At 48.8% G+C, this 18434-nt stretch overlaps 1 protein-coding gene and 1 long non-coding RNA gene across 5 annotated transcripts in view, besides 5 other annotated features; one reads left to right on the top strand and one right to left on the bottom strand.

Annotated features, from left to right (window-relative positions):
- Positions 1 to 12422, bottom strand: part of ITFG2 (integrin alpha FG-GAP repeat containing 2) — a 47124-nt gene extending 34702 nt beyond the window's left edge. Inside the window, exons 1-12 of one of the 3 annotated variants that reach the window (NR_147202.2) lie at positions 12234 to 12422; positions 7772 to 7867; positions 7140 to 7181; positions 6835 to 6984; positions 4865 to 5004; positions 4218 to 4366; positions 3731 to 3828; positions 3494 to 3547; positions 3298 to 3398; positions 2179 to 2296; positions 1147 to 1320; positions 838 to 1000 (exon numbers count right to left, since the gene is read on the bottom strand). Coding sequence is in view for 1 of the 3 variants with exons in the window: in NM_018463.4 (NP_060933.3) it covers positions 897 to 1000; positions 1147 to 1320; positions 2179 to 2296; positions 3298 to 3398; positions 3494 to 3547; positions 3731 to 3828; positions 4218 to 4366; positions 4865 to 5004; positions 6813 to 6984; positions 7140 to 7181; positions 7772 to 7867; positions 12234 to 12329 (1344 nt within the window). In the remaining 2 variants the exon portion in view is untranslated. Of the gene's footprint in view, positions 1 to 13; positions 1001 to 1146; positions 1321 to 2178; positions 2297 to 3297; positions 3399 to 3493; positions 3548 to 3730; positions 3829 to 4217; positions 4367 to 4864; positions 5005 to 6736; positions 6985 to 7139; positions 7182 to 7771; positions 7868 to 12233 lie in introns of those variants that run through there. The other 2 variants (NR_130744.3, NM_018463.4) reach the window with 2 other exon arrangements.
- Positions 4553 to 5053: an enhancer, noted in NCBI's record as "H3K4me1 hESC enhancer chr12:2929203-2929703 (GRCh37/hg19 assembly coordinates)". NCBI's record gives its function as "activates a minimal SCP1, AML or CMV promoter by ChIP-STARR-seq in naive H9 embryonic stem cells {active_cell/tissue: H9 hESC(naive)}" and the evidence as "EXISTENCE:reporter gene assay evidence [ECO:0000049][PMID:30033119]".
- Positions 5054 to 5554: an enhancer, noted in NCBI's record as "H3K4me1 hESC enhancer chr12:2928702-2929202 (GRCh37/hg19 assembly coordinates)". NCBI's record gives its function as "activates a minimal SCP1, AML or CMV promoter by ChIP-STARR-seq in naive H9 embryonic stem cells {active_cell/tissue: H9 hESC(naive)}" and the evidence as "EXISTENCE:reporter gene assay evidence [ECO:0000049][PMID:30033119]".
- Positions 12126 to 12875: an enhancer, noted in NCBI's record as "OCT4-NANOG-H3K27ac hESC enhancer chr12:2921381-2922130 (GRCh37/hg19 assembly coordinates)". NCBI's record gives its function as "activates a minimal SCP1, AML or CMV promoter by ChIP-STARR-seq in naive and primed H9 embryonic stem cells {active_cell/tissue: H9 hESC(naive and primed)}" and the evidence as "EXISTENCE:reporter gene assay evidence [ECO:0000049][PMID:30033119]".
- Positions 12146 to 12395: an enhancer, noted in NCBI's record as "active region_5815". NCBI's record gives its function as "activates an Ori minimal core promoter by ATAC-STARR-seq in GM12878 lymphoblastoid cells {active_cell/tissue: GM12878}" and the evidence as "EXISTENCE:reporter gene assay evidence [ECO:0000049][PMID:35858748]".
- ITFG2-AS1 (ITFG2 antisense RNA 1) overlaps positions 12166 to 18434 on the top strand; it is a 70299-nt gene continuing 64030 nt past the window's right edge. For both annotated transcript variants that reach the window (NR_146317.1, NR_146318.1), the window contains exon 1: positions 12166 to 12528. This is a non-coding gene — a long non-coding RNA (ITFG2 antisense RNA 1). The remainder of the gene's footprint in view (positions 12529 to 18434) is intronic.
- Positions 12506 to 12595: a silencer, noted in NCBI's record as "silent region_4133". NCBI's record gives its function as "represses an Ori minimal core promoter by ATAC-STARR-seq in GM12878 lymphoblastoid cells {active_cell/tissue: GM12878}" and the evidence as "EXISTENCE:reporter gene assay evidence [ECO:0000049][PMID:35858748]".

Raw genomic sequence — 18434 nt, 5'->3', positions numbered from 1 at the left:
ACTGAGAGCAATGTACTCTGCTATTTTCTATTTTACTTTATTCTATTCTACCTATTTAAAAAATGCTGGCCATAATCCACCAAAGGACTGCAACCACAGTTTGAAAAACACCGATTTAGAGCATAGAGAATCAAGAACAGACGGCACATAAATGACCCAAGATATAATTCTGATTGTGGTCTGGATCATAAACCCGCATCACATTTTAAATGTCTATTGTCTTGGAGACAATAAGCTGTTTTATGGGGGAATGGGTGGGTGGAAAAATGGGAGCAGGGCTTCTGAAGCTGACTAATACCTGAAGAATACGGCAACGTGAGAAAGCACTGACCCGGCTGCTTTGGTAAATGGAAGAAAATCATCTCAGGGTTGCTAGGAACATGGGTAAGACCAGACTGTAGAAAGATCCTTCAAAACAAAACAGTTTGCCATTCCTTTAACAATTACTAACGTCAAGAACTTGGAATTGTGCCACGGAAGACAGAGCTTAAGATGGGGTGGAGCCCTTACCTCCACTGCTCCCCTGGGCCTAAAGCCTGGTTTCCTTATGGGTGTTGGGGCCACACAAACAAGTCTCTGTTTTCAACACAGTGACAGTGGGGAGTGGGTCATGTCCCAGATGATTTGGAACAAGGCCAGGGTCCTATGACCCTGCTGGCATGATGGGTGAGGTCCATAAGGAAATGGGCAGAGGGTCAACTTGTCTCTTCTTTCACCGAAAAGACTGCGAGGTCTATAGTTCACGGTCACCCTAGGGCTGCTGCCATCTTTCATGCCCAGAGTCAAATCCTGCATTTCTGTAATGCATATTCCCTATCCTGCCAATACCACAGATACCTTTAGGGGGTAGGGTGGGGGTTCAGAAGAATCCTTCACCAGCTATGAGGCAAGTACAGCTAGGTGGGATCCTGGAGGCTTGAGGGAGCACACTGTGGTGGCTGGTCTGGATGGTAGAGCGTTTGGTGAAGCAGGGCACGAGTCACAGGGAGGTCGTCAGGATCTGAGAGCCAAGAAGGGGTGGGTAAGAGGCTGTGGGTCTCCTGGGCACCCGGGCCACTGGCTTTTCTGGGACTCACCCACGCCCAGCTCCTGCAGCATGCTGTGGGTCTCCTGGGCACTCGGGCCACTGGCTTTTCTGGGACTCACCCACGCCCAGCTCCTGCAGCAGGCTGTGGTACTCCGGCTTGGTCTCCAGCAGTTTCACCAGATTGGTAGACTCCATCCGCTCCAGCTGCACCTCCCAGTACACATAGATCTTCTGGTTGAAAGTGACATATACGAGGCAGGGGCTGTTGCGGCCCTCTTTGCAGGCGTACAGGCCTGGAAGATGTTGGCAGGGAGATAAAGGTCAGGAAGTTTCAGTGCCGACAGTGGGGGGCAGACAGCAAGACACAGACCTCCGAGTCAGCACTTTCCATCCTCCCACTGATGTCAGGAAAAAAATTAAAGGTTATTTCTTCTCTGTTGGGAACTCAGTAAAACAAGTAAGATGGGAAAAGACCTGGCTCACTTCAGATGTAGAAAAACCATAGTAACAAAACCCGGGCAGAATAGCATCCAAAAAGGTGCTATTTATTGCTTTTCCCATCTTAGTGATATCCCTGGAGTGATGAGGGATGGCATTGCTCGCCCAAGGGCGAGACTAGCAAAACACGATCAGAAAGTAAAGCTTCTCTTAGGTGCCAATCCCTCCTTCCAAATGCATCCCCCAGTCACCCAGAGAGTGAGTGCTGCCTCCCAAGGCCCCTGATTTGGAACTAATGAAAATGCTCTAGGAGAACTTTCTTCACAGAGACCTGGCATGCTGAGGTGGAAAAGAACTTCCTGATGTCTTCACACATCCCAGACAGATGACAGAAACTCATTCCATTCTTTAAAATATTCGGGGTGGAGATGTTACTGTCTTTTATTTCTTCTTATTTAAAATTGTCAAGATGGCAATGTAGTGACCACCCCTCACCCCCAAACAAAAGAGCTGAAGAACTCACGGTGAATGAAGACTTACATCACTCACCCCTCACCCCCAAACAAAAGAGCTGAAGAACTCACTGGTGAATGAAGACTTACATCAGGGGATACGTCAGAAAGGGAAGTGAGGGGCAAACACTTCCCTGGCATGCCTAACACGCCTATCTAACTTAAGTGTGGTTAGAAAGGGGCCATGGGGGCGGGGGTCACCTGCACAGAAGGCACGGATATTTTCATCCACTTGGAAGCGGACGACGGTGCGGTTGTGATCAATGATATATGTCTGTCCATCCCAGGCGCATGCAACTACCTCCTCATGCCCGTTGCCCTGAAAAAGGACAGAGACAAAAGGAACATAAAGGAGCTGTGGACTGGATTCTGGATGACAAACAGCGAGCTGGGGAGGAATTTCACCCGTGGGTTCGGCAGTAAACGCAACTGTCAAATGAGCCACCTCACATAATGCTCACAGCCACCCTAGGAAGTAGGCAATTTTATACTGAGGAAACCTCAGCTCATAGAAATAGAGTCACTCACCCAAGGCCACTCAGCTAGGAGGCAGCAGAATCAGGATTCAAACCCAGGTCTGCCTCTTCTCCTAAACCAACAAGCATGCCTGATGGCAATATAAAGTATAGCCCCTACCTGCTGATTCAGGGGCCACAGTGATATTAAATAGAGATTCATATATGGACAAGAAAAACCTACAAAATATGCCTCTGGAGTTGGGATGAATAACACACTTCCAGGCTCTTACAGTAACTTTTCTTTGGGGCTACTACTTCTGCTGAAGTTATGGAAATGACAGACTTCTAACAGCACAGTATAGCATTAATTATGGTCGAGTAAGAGGAAACAAACTCGCTTCAGATGGATTTAGACCTATCTAAAGAGACTTACGGCCAGGCACAGTGGCTCATGCCTGTAATTCCAACACTTTGGGAGGCTAAGACGAGAGGATTGCTTGAGCCCAGGAGTTTGAAACCATATATAGTGAGATCTCATCTTTACAAAAAGTTTAGGAAAGTTAGCCCAGTGTGGTGGCACACGCCTGTAGTCCCAGCTTCTCAGGAGGCTGAGGTGACAGAATGGCTTCAGTCTAGCAGAAAAGGTTGCAGTGAACCAAGATCATGCCACTGCACTCCAGCCTAGGTGGTAGGGGGGAGACCCTGTCTCAAAAAAAAAAAAAAGGAAAAAAAAAAAAGAGACAGAGACTAAAGATAAAGGTTGGGAGTTCCCTGGGATGTGAGAATAGCCTGATTATTCCAAATCTCATCTCTCCATGTGGAAAACGCAGGAATGCTCTGCTCTGCCAGGTTTTCCACTCACGGTGACATCCAGTTTCTCCAGGGCAAAGAGCTGGTGATCCACCTGCACTGACCACAGCAGCTTGTCTGCTTCTTCCATTTCTTCCATGAGCTTCAGTGTCCCTGCCGGGGGAGAGGCAGGCTGAGTGTGGGTGGGATAGGCCCCGAGCAGACCCTACAGGCATACAGCCCCCACACCCCATCCTAGCATTGCTCACCATCCAGGGTGCACAGGGCAAAGAGGCCAGAGCCACTACTCTCAGTGCCGTGGCCTGTGAGGACCAGAGGAAGAATATGTAAAGGGCAGGGCAAGGTCAGAGCCTACGGGGAGAGGGGTGTTCTGCAGCAGCAGGGGAAGGACAGGGCTCGAAATGAGGGGAAAGCTATGGATCTCCACTCCTCCAGAACTGACGGCTACCCCTCATCTCCCTCCCTCACACCCACCACACTTTCACCTTGTTTGATGTTGCCAATTAGGTGAGTGGAGACATTCTTGTTGTGGATACGGCCAGATGTCTGGTGCAGCACCACGTCTCGGGCAGCTGGGGTCTCCCTGTGCACAGCAGGTGGACGGATCAAGCGGGAGACCAAGTGAGCTGAGCTCTCCAGCCCTTTGTAACCCCTATCCCTGCAAGAGCTTCTGGGATTTGAATCAGCTTAGAAACCTACCACTGACCCTATCTGGCCCATGTGGCAAACAGAAAAGACAGGGATGGGGCTGCCAGGTTGGAATCTCAGGACCTCTTTCAGGTGCTACAAAGTTAGAGCCCAGGATTCCCTTGGTCTTAAAGTAATCTTCCCCAGTGGGGCAAAGGTGCTTGGGTTGGGACCTAGATGAGGCAGCTCTGCCAACTGCAGACCCATTTTACTACCATGTGGCATCTGGGAGCCCATCCTGCTTCCATGCACCCCCACACCATCCACTGGCCTGTACCCCCTTACCTACTACCATCCGTGGGCCCTTCAGAGGCAGGAGGGGACCCAGTGTCCTTTTTCCAGGTACACAGTAGAATTGCATACGCACAACCTGGCTGAGACACCATCAGTTCAGGAAGACCCAGTGGCCCCAGAGTCACTGAGAGGCTGTCCACCTGCACCAGGGAATGGGATTAAAGGGAGACGGAGAGAGAAGGAAGTGGGTCCCTGCAGAGAACGGCAGGGGGCGGTGGGTGGGCGGGGGCGGGGGCAGGGGCAGGGCAGCAGTCCTGGGAACAGCCCTCTGGGCTTCAAGGGTAGCAGCAGGAGGAAGGATTTCGAGTTTCCAGGGCTCCTGCCTGGCACCGTCCTCTCCACACAGACCACATGCTTTCCCCTGTGCATGTCCCAGCTGGGGTCTAGGTCCTGATGCGGCCCACTCCACACCTACCTTCACACTCCTCATTCTTAGCCCAACATGCCCTTCTCTTTGCCTGTTACTAGCAATTTCCCCTAAGCCCCTGATTTGAAATGGTCTTTGGATCTCTCTTGACAAGGTGACTTTTCACTTCTCCCCACCCTGGCCCTGTCCCATGACTGCTCTCCCACTACCTCCTCCAGGAGACCTTCCTCCCAGCTCCCTGGGGCCTTGTTCCCCAGAGTCAGCTTCTTACCTGACCCTCCAGCATCCATTTCTTGAGGGACACCAGCTGCCCTGTCAGATGTTCAGGACCCTCACCTAGCTCCTCCCAGCGGAAAGCTCGCACCACACGGTCTGTGTAGCCCACCACCAGCTCACGACACCCATCTCCATCTGTGGGCATGAAAGACAAGATGGGCTCTGGAGTCCCACGAGCAGCCCCCGCTCCTCTGCTAACAGTGGCACCTTCCAGCCAGTGCGGCTTCACACCCGATCTGCGGTGCTACTCACTTCACCCTCAGTCTGCCCCCGCCCCTGCCTGTGTTTGCGGCATCTTGCCCGTCCATTTGGTCCATCTGTTCCGCAGCTCCTATCCGCTCTCTGCCTTCATATTACTTCTCAAACATGCAACTCAAAGTGTCCCAATTCATCCCACGTATCTCCCACCACCTACAAGCCCCCTATCTGGATGGTTCCCTTGCTTGCCACTTTTTTTTTTTTTCACCAAATGTTACCTTCTCAGTGAGGATTTCCCTAACATCTCCATTTAAAATTGCTACCTCTACCTCGACACTCTAGCTCTTTCTGTGAATTATTTTCTCCATTGCACTTACTATATATTTTTTTTTTTTTGAGACAGAGTCTTTGTCACCCAGGCTGGAGTGCAGTGGCACAATCTTGGCTCACTGTAACCTCCACCTTCCGGGCTCAAGCAATTCTCCTGCCTCGGCCTCTAGAGTAGCTGGGATTACAGGCATATGCCACCACGCTCAGCTCATTTTTTTTTTTTTTGAGACGGAGTCTCGCTCTCTCGCCTAGGCTGGAGTGCAGTGGCGCGATTTCGGCTTACTGCAAGCTCTGCCTCCTGGGTTCATGCCATTCTCCTGCCTCAGCCTCCCAAGGAGCTGGGACTACAGGTGCCCACCACCATGCCCGGTTAATTTTTTTTTTGTATTTTTAGTAGAGACGGGGTTTCACTGTGTTAGCCAGGATGGTCTCGGTCTCCTGACCTTGTGGTCTGCCCTCCTCGGCTTCCCAAAGTGTTGGGATTACAGGCGTGAGCCACCGTGCCCAGCCCAATTTTTGTATTTTTACTGGAGACGGGGTTTCACTATGTTGGTCAGGCTGGTCTCGAACACCTGAGCTTAAGGGATCCGCCTGCCTTAGCCTCTCAAAGTGCTCTCGAAGTGCTGGGATTACAGGCGTGAACCACCGTGGTCGGCTGCACTTATTTTCTTTTTTTTTTTGGAGACGGAGTCTGTTGCCTAGGCTAGAGTGCAGTGGCATGATCCTGGGTCACTGCAACATCCGTCTCCCGGGTTCAAGCGATTCTCCTGCCTCAGTCTCCTGAGTAGCTGGGATAACAGGTGCCTGCCACCATGCCTGGCTACTTTTTGTATTTTTAGTAGGGACAGAGTTTCACCGTGTGGGCCAGGCTGGTCTCAAACTCCTGAACTCAAGTGATCTGCCTGCCTTGGCCTCCCAAAGTCGTGGGATTATAGGGATGAGCCATCACGTCTGGCCGTGTACTTACTACCTTCTAATATACTACTTAATTATCTTACAAAATGTATAGTTTTTCTTTTCTTTTCCTTTTTTAAATAGAGACAGGGTCCCACGCTGGAGTGGAGTGCAGTGGTGAGATCATAGCTCACTACAGCCTGGAACTCCTGGCCTCAAGTGATCCTCCCATCTCAGCCTCCCAAAGCGTTGGTATCACAGGCGAGAGGCAGCACACCTAGCCTATATTGTTTCTTTTCTGTTTCTTCATAATAAGGCCCAGGAGGGCAGCAATTTTTGTCTATTTATTCACTATGGCAATTCCAGTGCCTTGAGTGATGCCTGGCTTATCATGGGAGCTCAGCACATAACAAATGCATACATGAATACGGATTCTCCCTCTCACCCCAATCCCTTGGGATATGCTCTAGTATCCACTGACTCCTACTCTCCTGGCTGCCTGCAAAGGTAGGCATGCCCACCGATGTCGCTGATCAGCATGACCTTGGTGTTGGCAGGGATGTGCTGCTTGAAGACTGGACGCTGCTCCTCTCCGATTAGTGTCTCGTGGTGCCCAGAAGCATCCAACACCTTGGCAGGTGTCAGGTCAAACAAATGAAACCAGCCTTCAGCACTCACTGCCACCAACAGGTTCTAGGACAAACAGAGGTATAGTAGAGATGGACTGGGGAGGGAGTTTTGGAAACAAGCCTGATCATCAGATCACAGAGGTCAGAGCTGAAGCCTTTAACCTTCAACTGATTTCCACTGTGAGCTAAGAACCAAGGAAGGTCCCCTATAGTTCTTACCTTTCCTTTATTACACACGTCTCCAACCCCAACGCAAGTCAGCTGTAAGAGAGAAAGGGAGGCTCAGGGAGACGCTAAGGGAGACCAGTACTCCCTGATCTCTGTGAAGCAGGAGGAGCGGGCAGGTTTTCTAATCACCATCGCTCACTGAAGACTTTCGCCATATGAACCATGGTGATGGTCTTTATTAACGGCGTTACTGTGCTGTAGGTTTGGTTTACCCAGACAGCAACATGAAGACCTGAGGCGGTTAAGACAACCTGCACTTAAAATAAAATAGAAACTCTGTATTTAATAGAGCTAGGCTATCACATTTCTAGACTTACTCAAATTATTGCCCCCATTTTTGACTATACTTTAAGATTAGACAACCTTAGGCAACTTCCATAAAGTGTCAAGGAGTACTCCACGACACAAAAACACCCCAGCCCACGCACGCGTGTGTGAGGACAGATGGGAGCACTAGCTGGGGGCTGCCCTCCCTGAATCAAATTGGCTGCAAGTCAGTGGCTGGGCCCAGTAGCTAGGGAGTCAGGACACATGGGTGAGCACCTGTGTGGGGCTCACCCTAGGTGGTCCCTGGACAGAAGGGATCCCTTCCCCCCTCCAGGCCCAGGGAAGTGAATACTGACCATTCCCTGGCAGGAACAGGTGAGCCATGGCCGACTGTCATCATTTTTATACACAGACACCTTCCCGCTGGTGTCTCCCACCACCAGTTCATTTAACTTCAAATGGAGAGAGAAGAAAGCGTTAGGATGGGACTCTGCTGAACCTCTTCAAGCTCTTCTCTACTTAGCCTAGCCAAGGGTAATCACAAGACCTCAACTTGTATCTTCATCTACTTTATTAAAAGTCTGGCCAGGTGCAATGACTCACACTTGTAATCCCACTACTTTGGGTGGTGGAGGTGGGTGGATCACTTGAGGCCAAGAGTTAGAGACCAGCCTGGGCAACATGGCAAGATCCCATTTCTACAAAAAAATTTAAAAATTTGCCAGGTGAGGCCAGGTGCAGTGGCTCATGCCTATAATCCCAGCACTTTGGGAGGTGGAGGCGGGTGGATTGGTTGGTTGAGCTCAGGAATTCGAGACCAGCCTAGCCAACATGGTGAAACCTTGTCTCTACAAAAAATACAAAAATTACCCAAGCATAGTGGTGCATGCCTGTGGTCCCAACTACTCGGGACACCGAGGCAGGAGAATTGCTTGAGCCTGGGAGGTAGAGGTTGCAGTGAGTGAGCAAGACTGCACCACTGTACTCTAGCCTGGGTGACAGAGTGAGACCCTGTCTCTCAAAAAAAAAAAAAAAAAAGAAAAAAAGGCCAGGCGCAGTGGCTCATGCCTGTAATCCCAGCATTTTGGAAGGCCAAGGCGGGCGGATCATGAGGTCAGGAGATTGAGACCATCCTAGCTAACACAGTGAAACCCTGTTTCTATTAAAACTACAAAAAATTAGCCGGGCATGGTGGCGGGCGCCTGTGGTCCCAGCTACTCGGGAGGCTGAGGCAGGAGAATGGTGTGAACCCGGGAGGCAGAGCTTGCAGTGAGCCAAGACTGTACCACTGCACTCCAGCCTGGGCGACAGAGCGAGACTCTGTCTCAAAAAAAAAAAAAAAAAGGCTGTGTGCGGTGACTCACGCCGATAATCCCAGCACTTTGGGAGGCCGAGGCGGGTGGATCACATGAGGTCAGGAGTTCGAGACCAGCCTGGCCAACATGGTAAAACCCCGTTTGTACTAAAAATACAAAAATTAGCTGAGCGTGGTGGTACACACCTGTAATCCCAGCTACTCGGGAGGCTGAGGCAGGAGAACTGCCTGAACCCAGGAGGTGGAGGTTGCAGTGAGCCGAGATCGTGCCACTGCACTCCAGCCTGATGACAGAGCGAGACTCTGTCTCAAAAAAAAAAAAAAAAAATTATCCAGGTGTGGTGGTGCACACCTGCAGCTTCAGCTACTCAGGAGGCTGAGGAAGGAGGATCACTTGAGCTCAGGAACCTGAAGCTGCAGTGAGCCATGATCGTGCCATTGCAGTCCAGCCTGGGTGACAGAACAAGACCCTGTCTCAAAAAACAAAACAAAACAATCTTTTGAGGCCAACACAACCATAGTTTCCCAGTTCTTTATTTCCATTTAGGGGTGTGTGTGTTAGGGGGCAGGAGAGGTTACAGGAATTGAGGCTACACACAATCTATGGCCCACCCCAGAAAAGTATGCGACCTGAACAGCTCTAGGTTACACATGCCTGACTTTGGCTCTTTGAATTTGCCCATTACAAATGGGACATGTTTTGAAAACAGCCCAAGATGGTGGAGTTTTGGAGAATCTAACTTCAGACCTCATGTTTAATCAGGGGCCAAATAAAAAGACAATGTGAACTCTTGGGGCCTTCCCTCCTCTAGCAAGGCCTTTTGATCTTGAGGTGTATGTGGGAACCACAAAGGATGGTGGGGCCTGAGGGGGCAGAGCCTGAAGGGGCTGCTCCCCACTCTGGGCCTCCAGTGCCCTCAAGTGATGGCTAAGCTCTAGAGAAGGGAGGTCCCTGTATGGAGCCTCTCCACCATTTGTATCTGGGTAGCTGCCCTTTACAGGGGCTCACGATGTTAACCAAGTGGCTTCAAACCCCACTTCCGCAAACTGCTTTATGATCTCCTCTTGGGGGTACAGCCAACATCCCCTTCCTGTTCCCAGAATACATTGAACTAATACTCTCAAGAAATTTAGTTCTAAAGGCAACAGAGATAAACAGGTGAACAGTAAGGAAAAGTTAGAAACAAATTGGAATTTATTTGAATCTTTGATTTCTGGCTGGGCGCGGTGGCTCACGCCTGTAATCCCAGCTACTTTTGGGAGGCCGAGGCAGGCCAAGGTTCGCTTGAACCTGGGAGGCAGAGGTTGCAGTGAGCCGAGATTGTGTCACTGCACTCCAGCCTGGACAATAAGAGTGAAACTCCGTCTCAAAAAAAAAAAAAATCTTTATTTTTTAATTGTTATAATTGTTATGGGACTTTCTGGTGAGAATATCAGATCACAGAAGCATAAAACTGGTTTTTTTTAAATCAAACCTATTACTTGACGTTTCTTATTTCTTTTCTTTCTGTTTTTTTGTTGTTTGTTTGAGACAGGGTCTCACTCTGTTGCTCAAGCTGGAGTACCGTAGTGTGATCATGGCTCACTGCAGCCTCAACTTCCTAGGCTCAAGTAATCCTCTCGCCTCAGCCTCCTGAGTAGCCGGGACTACAAGCATGCACCACCACACCTGGCTAATTTTTTCTATTTTTTTGTAAAGACGGAGTTTCCCTGTGTTGCCCAGGCTGGTCTCGAACTCCTAGGCTCAAATGATCCTTCCATCTCAGCTTCCCAAAGTGCTGAGATTACAGGCGTGAGCCATCACACCCGGCCAGTGCCTACATTGTTCTAAGTGTTGAGAATATAGCAGTGGAAAAAACAGATTAAAACATTCCTACCCCTATGGAGCTTATAGTAATGGAGCTTACAACTCAGGTGAAAAAAAATGGTAGTATATCTAACATTGCAGAAGTGAGTGTGTAATAGTGTAATTCTTTCAGATAAGTACAATTTCAAAAAAGCTGGTGCTATAAACCTATAAAAAAAGGGAATGCTTTTAAACAAAGAAGGCAATCAGATAAAATGGAAAATAATGTATATCTGAAGGTGCTTTGTCAATTTACTGTTTAAAAGTATGGCCTGGTGAGGTTGCTTACACCTGTAATTCCAGCACTTTGGGACACTGAGGCCAGTGTACTGCTTGAAGCCAGAGGTTTGAGAACAGCCTGGTTAACACAGTGAGACCTCATCTCTACAAAACTTTAAAAAAATTAGCCAGACATGGTGGCAGGCACCTGTAGTCCCAGCTACGCAGGAGGTTGGGGCAGTAGAATCATTTGAGCCCAGGAGTTCAAGGCTGCAGTGAGCTACGATTGCACCACTGCACTCCAGCCTGGGCAACAGAGTGAGACCCTGTCTCTATAAAAAACAAAAAAATTTTAAAAATTCCTCCTCTAATTTTCTCATAAAATTGGACTGCTTGGCAGTTCATGAAGAAACACGAAAGCCCAGAAAACATAACACAAATTTATGAGAATAACTCTTTCCTCCCCAGAGAGGGTAGAGCCAAAAAAGGCCTCATAAGATACCTTCTGCATCACAGCACTAGGGGGCGGTGGGAAATAAGTACAGGACAGTTAAGGAACTGTGAAGCAGGGAGGCCGAGTAGGAAGATAGGGCAGAGGGTAGAAGGGGGCAATACAGTGCTTTGCATTAGAACTATGAAATAGATGATAAATGAAAAGATAAAGTCTGCAAAAAAAAGAGCATCAGACACTATTCCCTTTAATGCTCCACCGGAGAATCCTCTCCATACTTTAGTCAATGCATCTCATTACATTTTATTATCCGGTGACTATTACACAGCTTGATTATGAGCTATCTGAGGACTGGAACTCTCTCGTTCATTTTTGAATTCCTAGAATGTAGCAGAGTCCTTGGTGCATAATGAGCAGTTCAGTAAAGATTTGCAGAAAAACAGAATAAAATACTAACACCACCACCACCACCACTAACACTTAAGTGAGCACTAAACTGTGTGCCAGGCATTGTTTTACCTGCTTGACCTGTGGTAATTTATTTAAAAAACGAGAAGGGCTGGGCACGATGGCTCAGGCCTGTAGTCCCAGCACTTTGGGCCAACATGGTGAAACCCCACCTCTACTAAAAACACAAAAATTAGTCGGGCGTGGTGGCGGGCGCCTGTAATCCCAGCCCCTTGGGAGGCTGAGGTAGGAGAATCGCTCGAGCCCGGGAGGCAGAGGTTGCGGTGAGCCGAAATCAAGCCACTGCACTCCAGCCTGGGTGACAGACGGAGCCTGTCTCAAAAAACAAACAAAACCTCCCAAGGAACAAAACCAACCACGAACACTGAAGCTATCAATAAAGTTTTTCTCTCTAGCGCTCCAAACTAGCCACAGCGCGCATGCTCACGCTCACGTGGCACGCTCGGGCGGCCTCTTCCACTTCCCTTGCCCCGTCCCTGCACAGATCCAGGCTGTCTCTTGCGGTGCGCATGCACCTACCGTATCGTTATCAACGTCTCCGAGGCAGATTGCGTGCGGGAAGAGGCTCCCGCTGAACTCCAGCGCCACGCGCTGCACGTAGCTAACTGACCTCATGGCACCTCCAAGAGCAGAGGGAGCGGAGAGGCCCAGTAAATATTCCCTGAACCCCCGTCGCGACAGCCGCCAGAGCGGAAGGCCACCTAAGGCAGCAAGTTACGTCACTGCCTGAACCTCCAATCTCTGCCTCTTCCTCCTTTAACCTTACAGAGGAGGCGGGTCTTCCGGGCTTGGAGGCGGGCTTCCCAACTCTGATGTGAGTGACAGGCCCACGGGCCACTCCTTTTCTCCACAGGGCTGCAGACCGTGGGTAAACCAACCCTGACGGGGGTCGATCTGTTCCCTTGGCAACAGGGCTCCCAAGGGCTTGACCTAATAACCTTGACCTTTTTCCTTTGTTTCCCTGGCAATGAAGATTCCTAGCCATCAGACCATTCCTGAGAATCTTACTAATCTTCGTAATAACTGATAATTGCATGGTTTTGAAAAGTGTTTTTAAAAAACTACCCATTAGGAGTGAAAACAATGTAGTGAGTTGCAATCAGCATATAAAAAATTAAATACAATAGTAATATACCAAGTGACTCCCAGGTAGTAAGGTAAGTACAGTTTTTGTGAAACTCTTGTTTCAATTGTATATACTTATATGTGTATACTGGCTTATAATGTAAAAAAAATTTTTTTTTTCAGTGTATGTGTTTTCTGGTCAATAGTTTAAAAGCCACCTGCTGCAAAGCACATTTCACATATTTCACATAATTAGTTCAGCCACTATGCGAGCTTTTTTTTTTTTTGGCTGAGGAAAACAGGTTCAGCAAGATTAAGTAAAATGGCAGAAGGAAGGATTGTGGGGCGGGGTGCGTGCTCAAACCAGAATTGTTTGATCCCAAACCCTAGGGCCTCTCCATCATTTACTATCATAGTTCGTAGGAGAGTCTTCAGGCTGGAAGTGAAGGTTGCCTGGATTCCGGATCTGCTCTGTCTTGTGGCCCCCCAGCACAAAGCTCTTGCATCTCAACCTCAGTAGCCTTACTCTTGTAGCACAGATGGGACTGTCACTCTCATGGCTGGCTTCTTGGGATACTTTCTTTCCATGTTGAATCCAGTTCTGCCTTTCTTTGGGGTGCCTCGTCAATCAGGGCAATATTTATGAAATCATACAGGTGTTCAATACATTTTTAGATTTAGGTCTAAAAACCCAGGCTGACTCGCACTTGGTGTTTCAAAAAAAAAAAAAAAATGATTCTACCTTATCTGGGATTTTGGACCAGGGGCTGTTCCTTTTTATCTTTTTTTTTTTTATTTTTATTTTTATTTTTTTTTGAGACAGAGTCTCGCTCTGTTGCCCAGGCTGTAGTGCAGTGGCGCAATCTCGGCTCACTGCAACCTCTGCCTCCCAGGTTCAAGCAGTTCTCCTGCCTCAGCCTCCCGAGTAGCTGAGACTACAGGCGAGCGCCACCACGCCCAGCTAATTTTTAATTTAATTTAATTTAATTTTTTTTTTTTTTGAGACGGAGTCTCGCTCTGTCACCCAGGCTGGAGTGCAGTGGTGCGATCTCGGCTCGCTGCAAGCTCCGCCTCCCGGGCTCAAGCCATTCTCCTGCCTCAGCCTCCGGAGTAGCTGGGACTACAAGCGCCCGCTACCACTCAAGGAGAATTTTTTGTATTTTTAGTAGAGACGGCGTTTCACCGTGTTAGCCAGGATGGTCTCGATCTCCTGACCTCGTGATCCACCCGCCTCGGCCTTCCAAAGTGCTGGGATTACAGGCATGAGCCACCGGCGCCCGGCCGCCCAGCTAATTTTTGTACTTTTAGTAGAGACGGGGTTTCACCATGTTGGCCAGAATGGTCTTGATCTCTTGACCTCTTGATCTGCCCGCCTCGGCCTCCCAAAGTGCTGGAATTACAGGCGTGAGCCACTGCGCCCGGCCCCTTTTTTCTTTTTCTTTCTTTTTTTTCTTTGAGAGTCTTGCTCTGGAGTGCAGTGGTGCGATCTGGGCTCATTGCAACCTCCGCCTCCCAGGCTCGAGATCTTGTGTCTCAGCCTCCCAGGTAGGTGGGATTACAAGCGTGAGCCACCATGCCCGGCTTGTCCCTACTTTCTATGTCTGTACATAGTGGGAGGAGGCTGGAGGGCAAGACCTTTTCTTGGGGGAAGGGGGTGGCAGATTTTTTCCTAGATGTCCCAGTGGATCTGACAGCCAGGTAAGAAAGAACAGCAGGTCAGAACAGTAAACTGGAGGAAGTCTGGACAAATACTGGAGACTGCAGATATATTCTGAAGCTGAACTGTGTTACAAGTTCATATTTCTGGTTGTGTACTGTGGGATGGCCAGGTCCATTAAAAGGCACTGGGTCCCACAGGTATTCCTGGTGCTTTGAATACATTTTCTCATTTACAGAGCAGTTGCATGCTCCCTCACCCCGTGTTCTACCCCATCTCTATTCTCTCATCCTAGTTCAAATCCTAAGCTTCATATTAGGCCTTTAAGGGGTGGGAAAACCAAAACCAGTATCAAAATGTTCACCTCTAGGTTGGCTGTGGAGGCTCATGCCTGTAATTCCAGCACTTTTGGAGACTGAGGCAGGCAGATCACTTGAGCTCAGGAGTTCAAGACCAGCCTGGACAACATGGCAAAACCATGACTCCACCAAAAATGCAAAAATTAGCTGGGCATAGTGGTGCATGCCTGTGGTCCCAGCTACTCAGGAGGCTGAGGCGGGAAGATCTCCTGAGCCCAAGAGGCAGAGGTTGCAGTGAGCCAAGGTGGTGTCACTGCACTCCAGGCTGGGTGAAAGTGAGACTCTGTCTCCAAAAAAAAAAAAAAAAAAAAAACTTTACCTCTGAAATGGTTTTTTCTTTCTTTCTTTCTTTTTTTCTGAGGCAGTCTCCCTCTGTCACCCAGGCTGGAGTGCAATGACACGATCTCGGCTCACTGCAACCTCCGCCTCCCGGGTTCAAGCGATTCTCCTGCCTTAGCCTCCTGAGTAGCTGGGACTACAGGAGACTGCCACCACGCCCAGCCAATTGTTTTTGTATTTTTAGTAGAGACGGGGTTTCACCATATTGGCCAGGCTGGTCTTGAACTCCTGACCTTGTGATCTGCCTGCCTCGGCCTCCCAAAGTGCTGAGATTATAGGCATGAGCCACCACGCCCGGCCTCTGAAGTGGTTTTAAAAAAATATATTACTAAATAACTCAGAACAAGAGATGAGATCACCCAGCTTCTTTCATCAGGTGCCTTGGCCTGACCCAGTTATCTAAGATCAGACCCCAACCCAGGATTCCCCAGTGCCTTAGTTTTATCTTCCTCATCATTTGGGTTTCTTGGTCTGGATCTTTCTGTGACACGGGGTGTCTGTTTTTAATTGTAGAATATGTTTGCCATGAAGGTCATGTAATTATGATCACAACTTCTTTTTTACTTTTTTTTTTTTTTGAGATGGAGTCTCGCTCTGTCGCCTAGGCTGAGTGCAGTGGCACGATCTCAGCTCACTGCAAGCTCTGCCCTCCGGGTTCACGCCATTGTCCTGCCTCAGCCTCCCGAGAAGCTGAGACTACAGGCACCCGCCACCACACCCGGCTAATTTTTTGTATTTTTAGTAGAGAATGGGTTTCACTGTGTTAGCCAGGATGGTCTCAATCTCCTGACCTCATGATCCACCCACCTCAGCCTCCCAAAGTGCTGGGATTACAGGCGTGAGCCACTGTGTCTGGCCTTCTTTTTCACTTTTTTGAGTTTCACTCTTCTTGCCCAGGCTGGAGTGCAATGGTGCGATCTTGGCTCACCGCAACCTCCGCCTCCCGGGTTCAAGCGATTCTCCTGCCTCAGCCTCCCGAGTAGCTGGGATTACAGGTGTCCACGACCATGCCCAGATAATTTTTTTTGTAGTAGAGACAGGGTTTCACCATGTTGGCCAGGCTGGTCTTGAACTCTTGACCTCAGGTGATCAAAGTGCTCGGCCTCCCAAAGTGCTGGGATTACAGGCCACCATGCCTAGACGTATGATCACAACTTCTATACCACACTTTTTGGCTTTTGTCAAGAGAGCCAAATAAAGTTAGGCAGGAAAGATAGGTCTCCAAGAAATAGGGCACAAGTGAAGTCCTTCCATGCCTGTGCCTCTCCCCACCTTGCATCAGTTACTTTAAGTCCAGTGAGTGTTTTGTATGACTAGGCATTGTCAAGCCATATGGACAGATCCCTGGCTCCACAAAGAGCACTCCTGGTCTTGGCCCCTTTCTAGTTGGAAGGTTGCTAGGTCTCTTTGGGCACCATCTAAACTCCATCTTGTCTAAGCCAAGCACTCTTTCTGCTGGTTTTTGTCTTGCTCCCCAAAACTGTCTAATTAGGGTATCTTCCTGGTTAGGTGACATGGATACAGTTATATGAGTGGCATATTCTTTACAAACAATAGAAATCTCCATAGGAGGGGATGGGGGGATTAAGTGGGGAGCGTTTCTTTCTTTTTTTTTTTTTTTAAGATGGAGTCTTACTCTGTCGCTCAGGCTGAAGTGCAGTGGCGCGCTCTTGACTCACTGCAAGCTCCACCTCCCAGGTTCACACCATTCTCCTGCCTCAGCCTCCCCAGTAACTGGGACTACAGGCTCCCGCCACCACACCCAGCTAATTTTTTTTTTGTGTGTGTATTTTTAGTAGAGACGGGGTTTCACCGTGTTAGCCAGGATGGTCTTGATCTCCTGACCTCGTGATCCGCCTGCCTTGGCTTCCCAAAGTGATGGGATTACAGGCGTGAGCCACTGCGCCCAGCCAGTGGGAAGCATTTCTAGGAAGATTCTTTGTGTACTTCATCCTCCAACAGTAGACAGAATGGTTTGTGTTTGCCCAGGGTGCCCAGGTAAGAAACAGGGTCTCCAAGTATCTTTCAAAACATGAGGCCCAGAGCCTCACCACCTTGGGGGCAGGGTCCATGGCTTCTCAATGGGCTTGGTTTGGCTTATATCACCATTTCCCCCTCCCCTCTCTCATTCATGGTACACCTTAGCATATTAAACTGTTGGAAAAGTTAGGTTTTTTGTCCTAGAAACTGGCAGAGTAGTGTGGGGCAGCTCTGCACCGGGTGAAATGCTGTTATTCAGAGCTCTACTAAGTCTCACTGCCTTCCTCAAGTTTGCCCCTGTTAAAATGCACCACCAACTCTGGGACGCTTTAATCCTAGAACTAACTCATCAGGATTGTCTGCTCAAGACTACTGATGGATGAGAAGTTCACTGTCACTGTGTCACTTAAACATTAGGAGACAGGGTTAAAACACAAAGAATGAGGAAGACGTTTTGGAACTAGATTAACACTGTAAAGACTAAATGGCCACCAAACTGTTGAATTTAAAATGGTTAACTTTGTTTCACCTAAAAATGTGAATTTCACCTAAAAAAATACAAATCAGTTTATGTCTGATGCACTTCTAAAACAGGAGACTGAAGATCCAATGGAATATAGAATATACATGCTGATCCTCTCTTCTAGCCACAGGACCCTTGACATTCACAAAGGCATTGCTTTTTCTTGATCATCCCTGAGACCATTCACTCTTACTTTGCCTCTCAAATTGGTATAGCATGGCAGGGCACAATGGCTCACGCCTGTAATCCCAGCACTTTAGGAGGCTTAGGCAGGCAGATCTCCTGAGGTCAGGAGTTCGAGACCAGCCTGGCCAACATGGTGAAACCCCATCTCTATTAAAAGTACAAAAATTAGCTGGGCATGGTAGTAGGCACTTGTAATCCCAGCTACTCAGGAGGCTGAGGCAGGATTATTGCTTGAACCTGGGAGGCACATGTTGCGGTGAGCTGAGATTGCGCCATTGCACTCCAGCCTGGGCAACAAGAGCTACACTCTGTCTGGAAAAAAAAAAAAAAAGCTGGGCATGGTGCCATGTGCCTGTAGTCCCTCCCAGCTACTCCGGAGGCTGAGTTGGGAGGATCTCTTGAGCCCAGGAGGTCGAGGCTGCAGTGAGCTGTAACTGCATCACTGCACTGAGCCTGGGCAAAATAGTGAGACCCTGTCTTAAACAAACAAACAAACAAAAAAACAAAAAAAAGAAAAAAAAAATAGGCTGGGCGCAGTGGCTCACGCCTGTAATTCCAGCACTTTAGGAGGCCAAGGCGGGTGGATCACCTGAGGTCAGGAGTTCAAGACC

This window comes from Homo sapiens, chromosome 12 (genome assembly GCF_000001405.40).
Source record: "Homo sapiens chromosome 12, GRCh38.p14 Primary Assembly".
In the NCBI taxonomy this organism is placed as follows: domain Eukaryota; kingdom Metazoa; phylum Chordata; class Mammalia; order Primates; family Hominidae; genus Homo; species Homo sapiens.
Note: the sequence above shows the minus strand (reverse complement) of the source record. Positions and strands in the feature narration are given on the sequence as shown.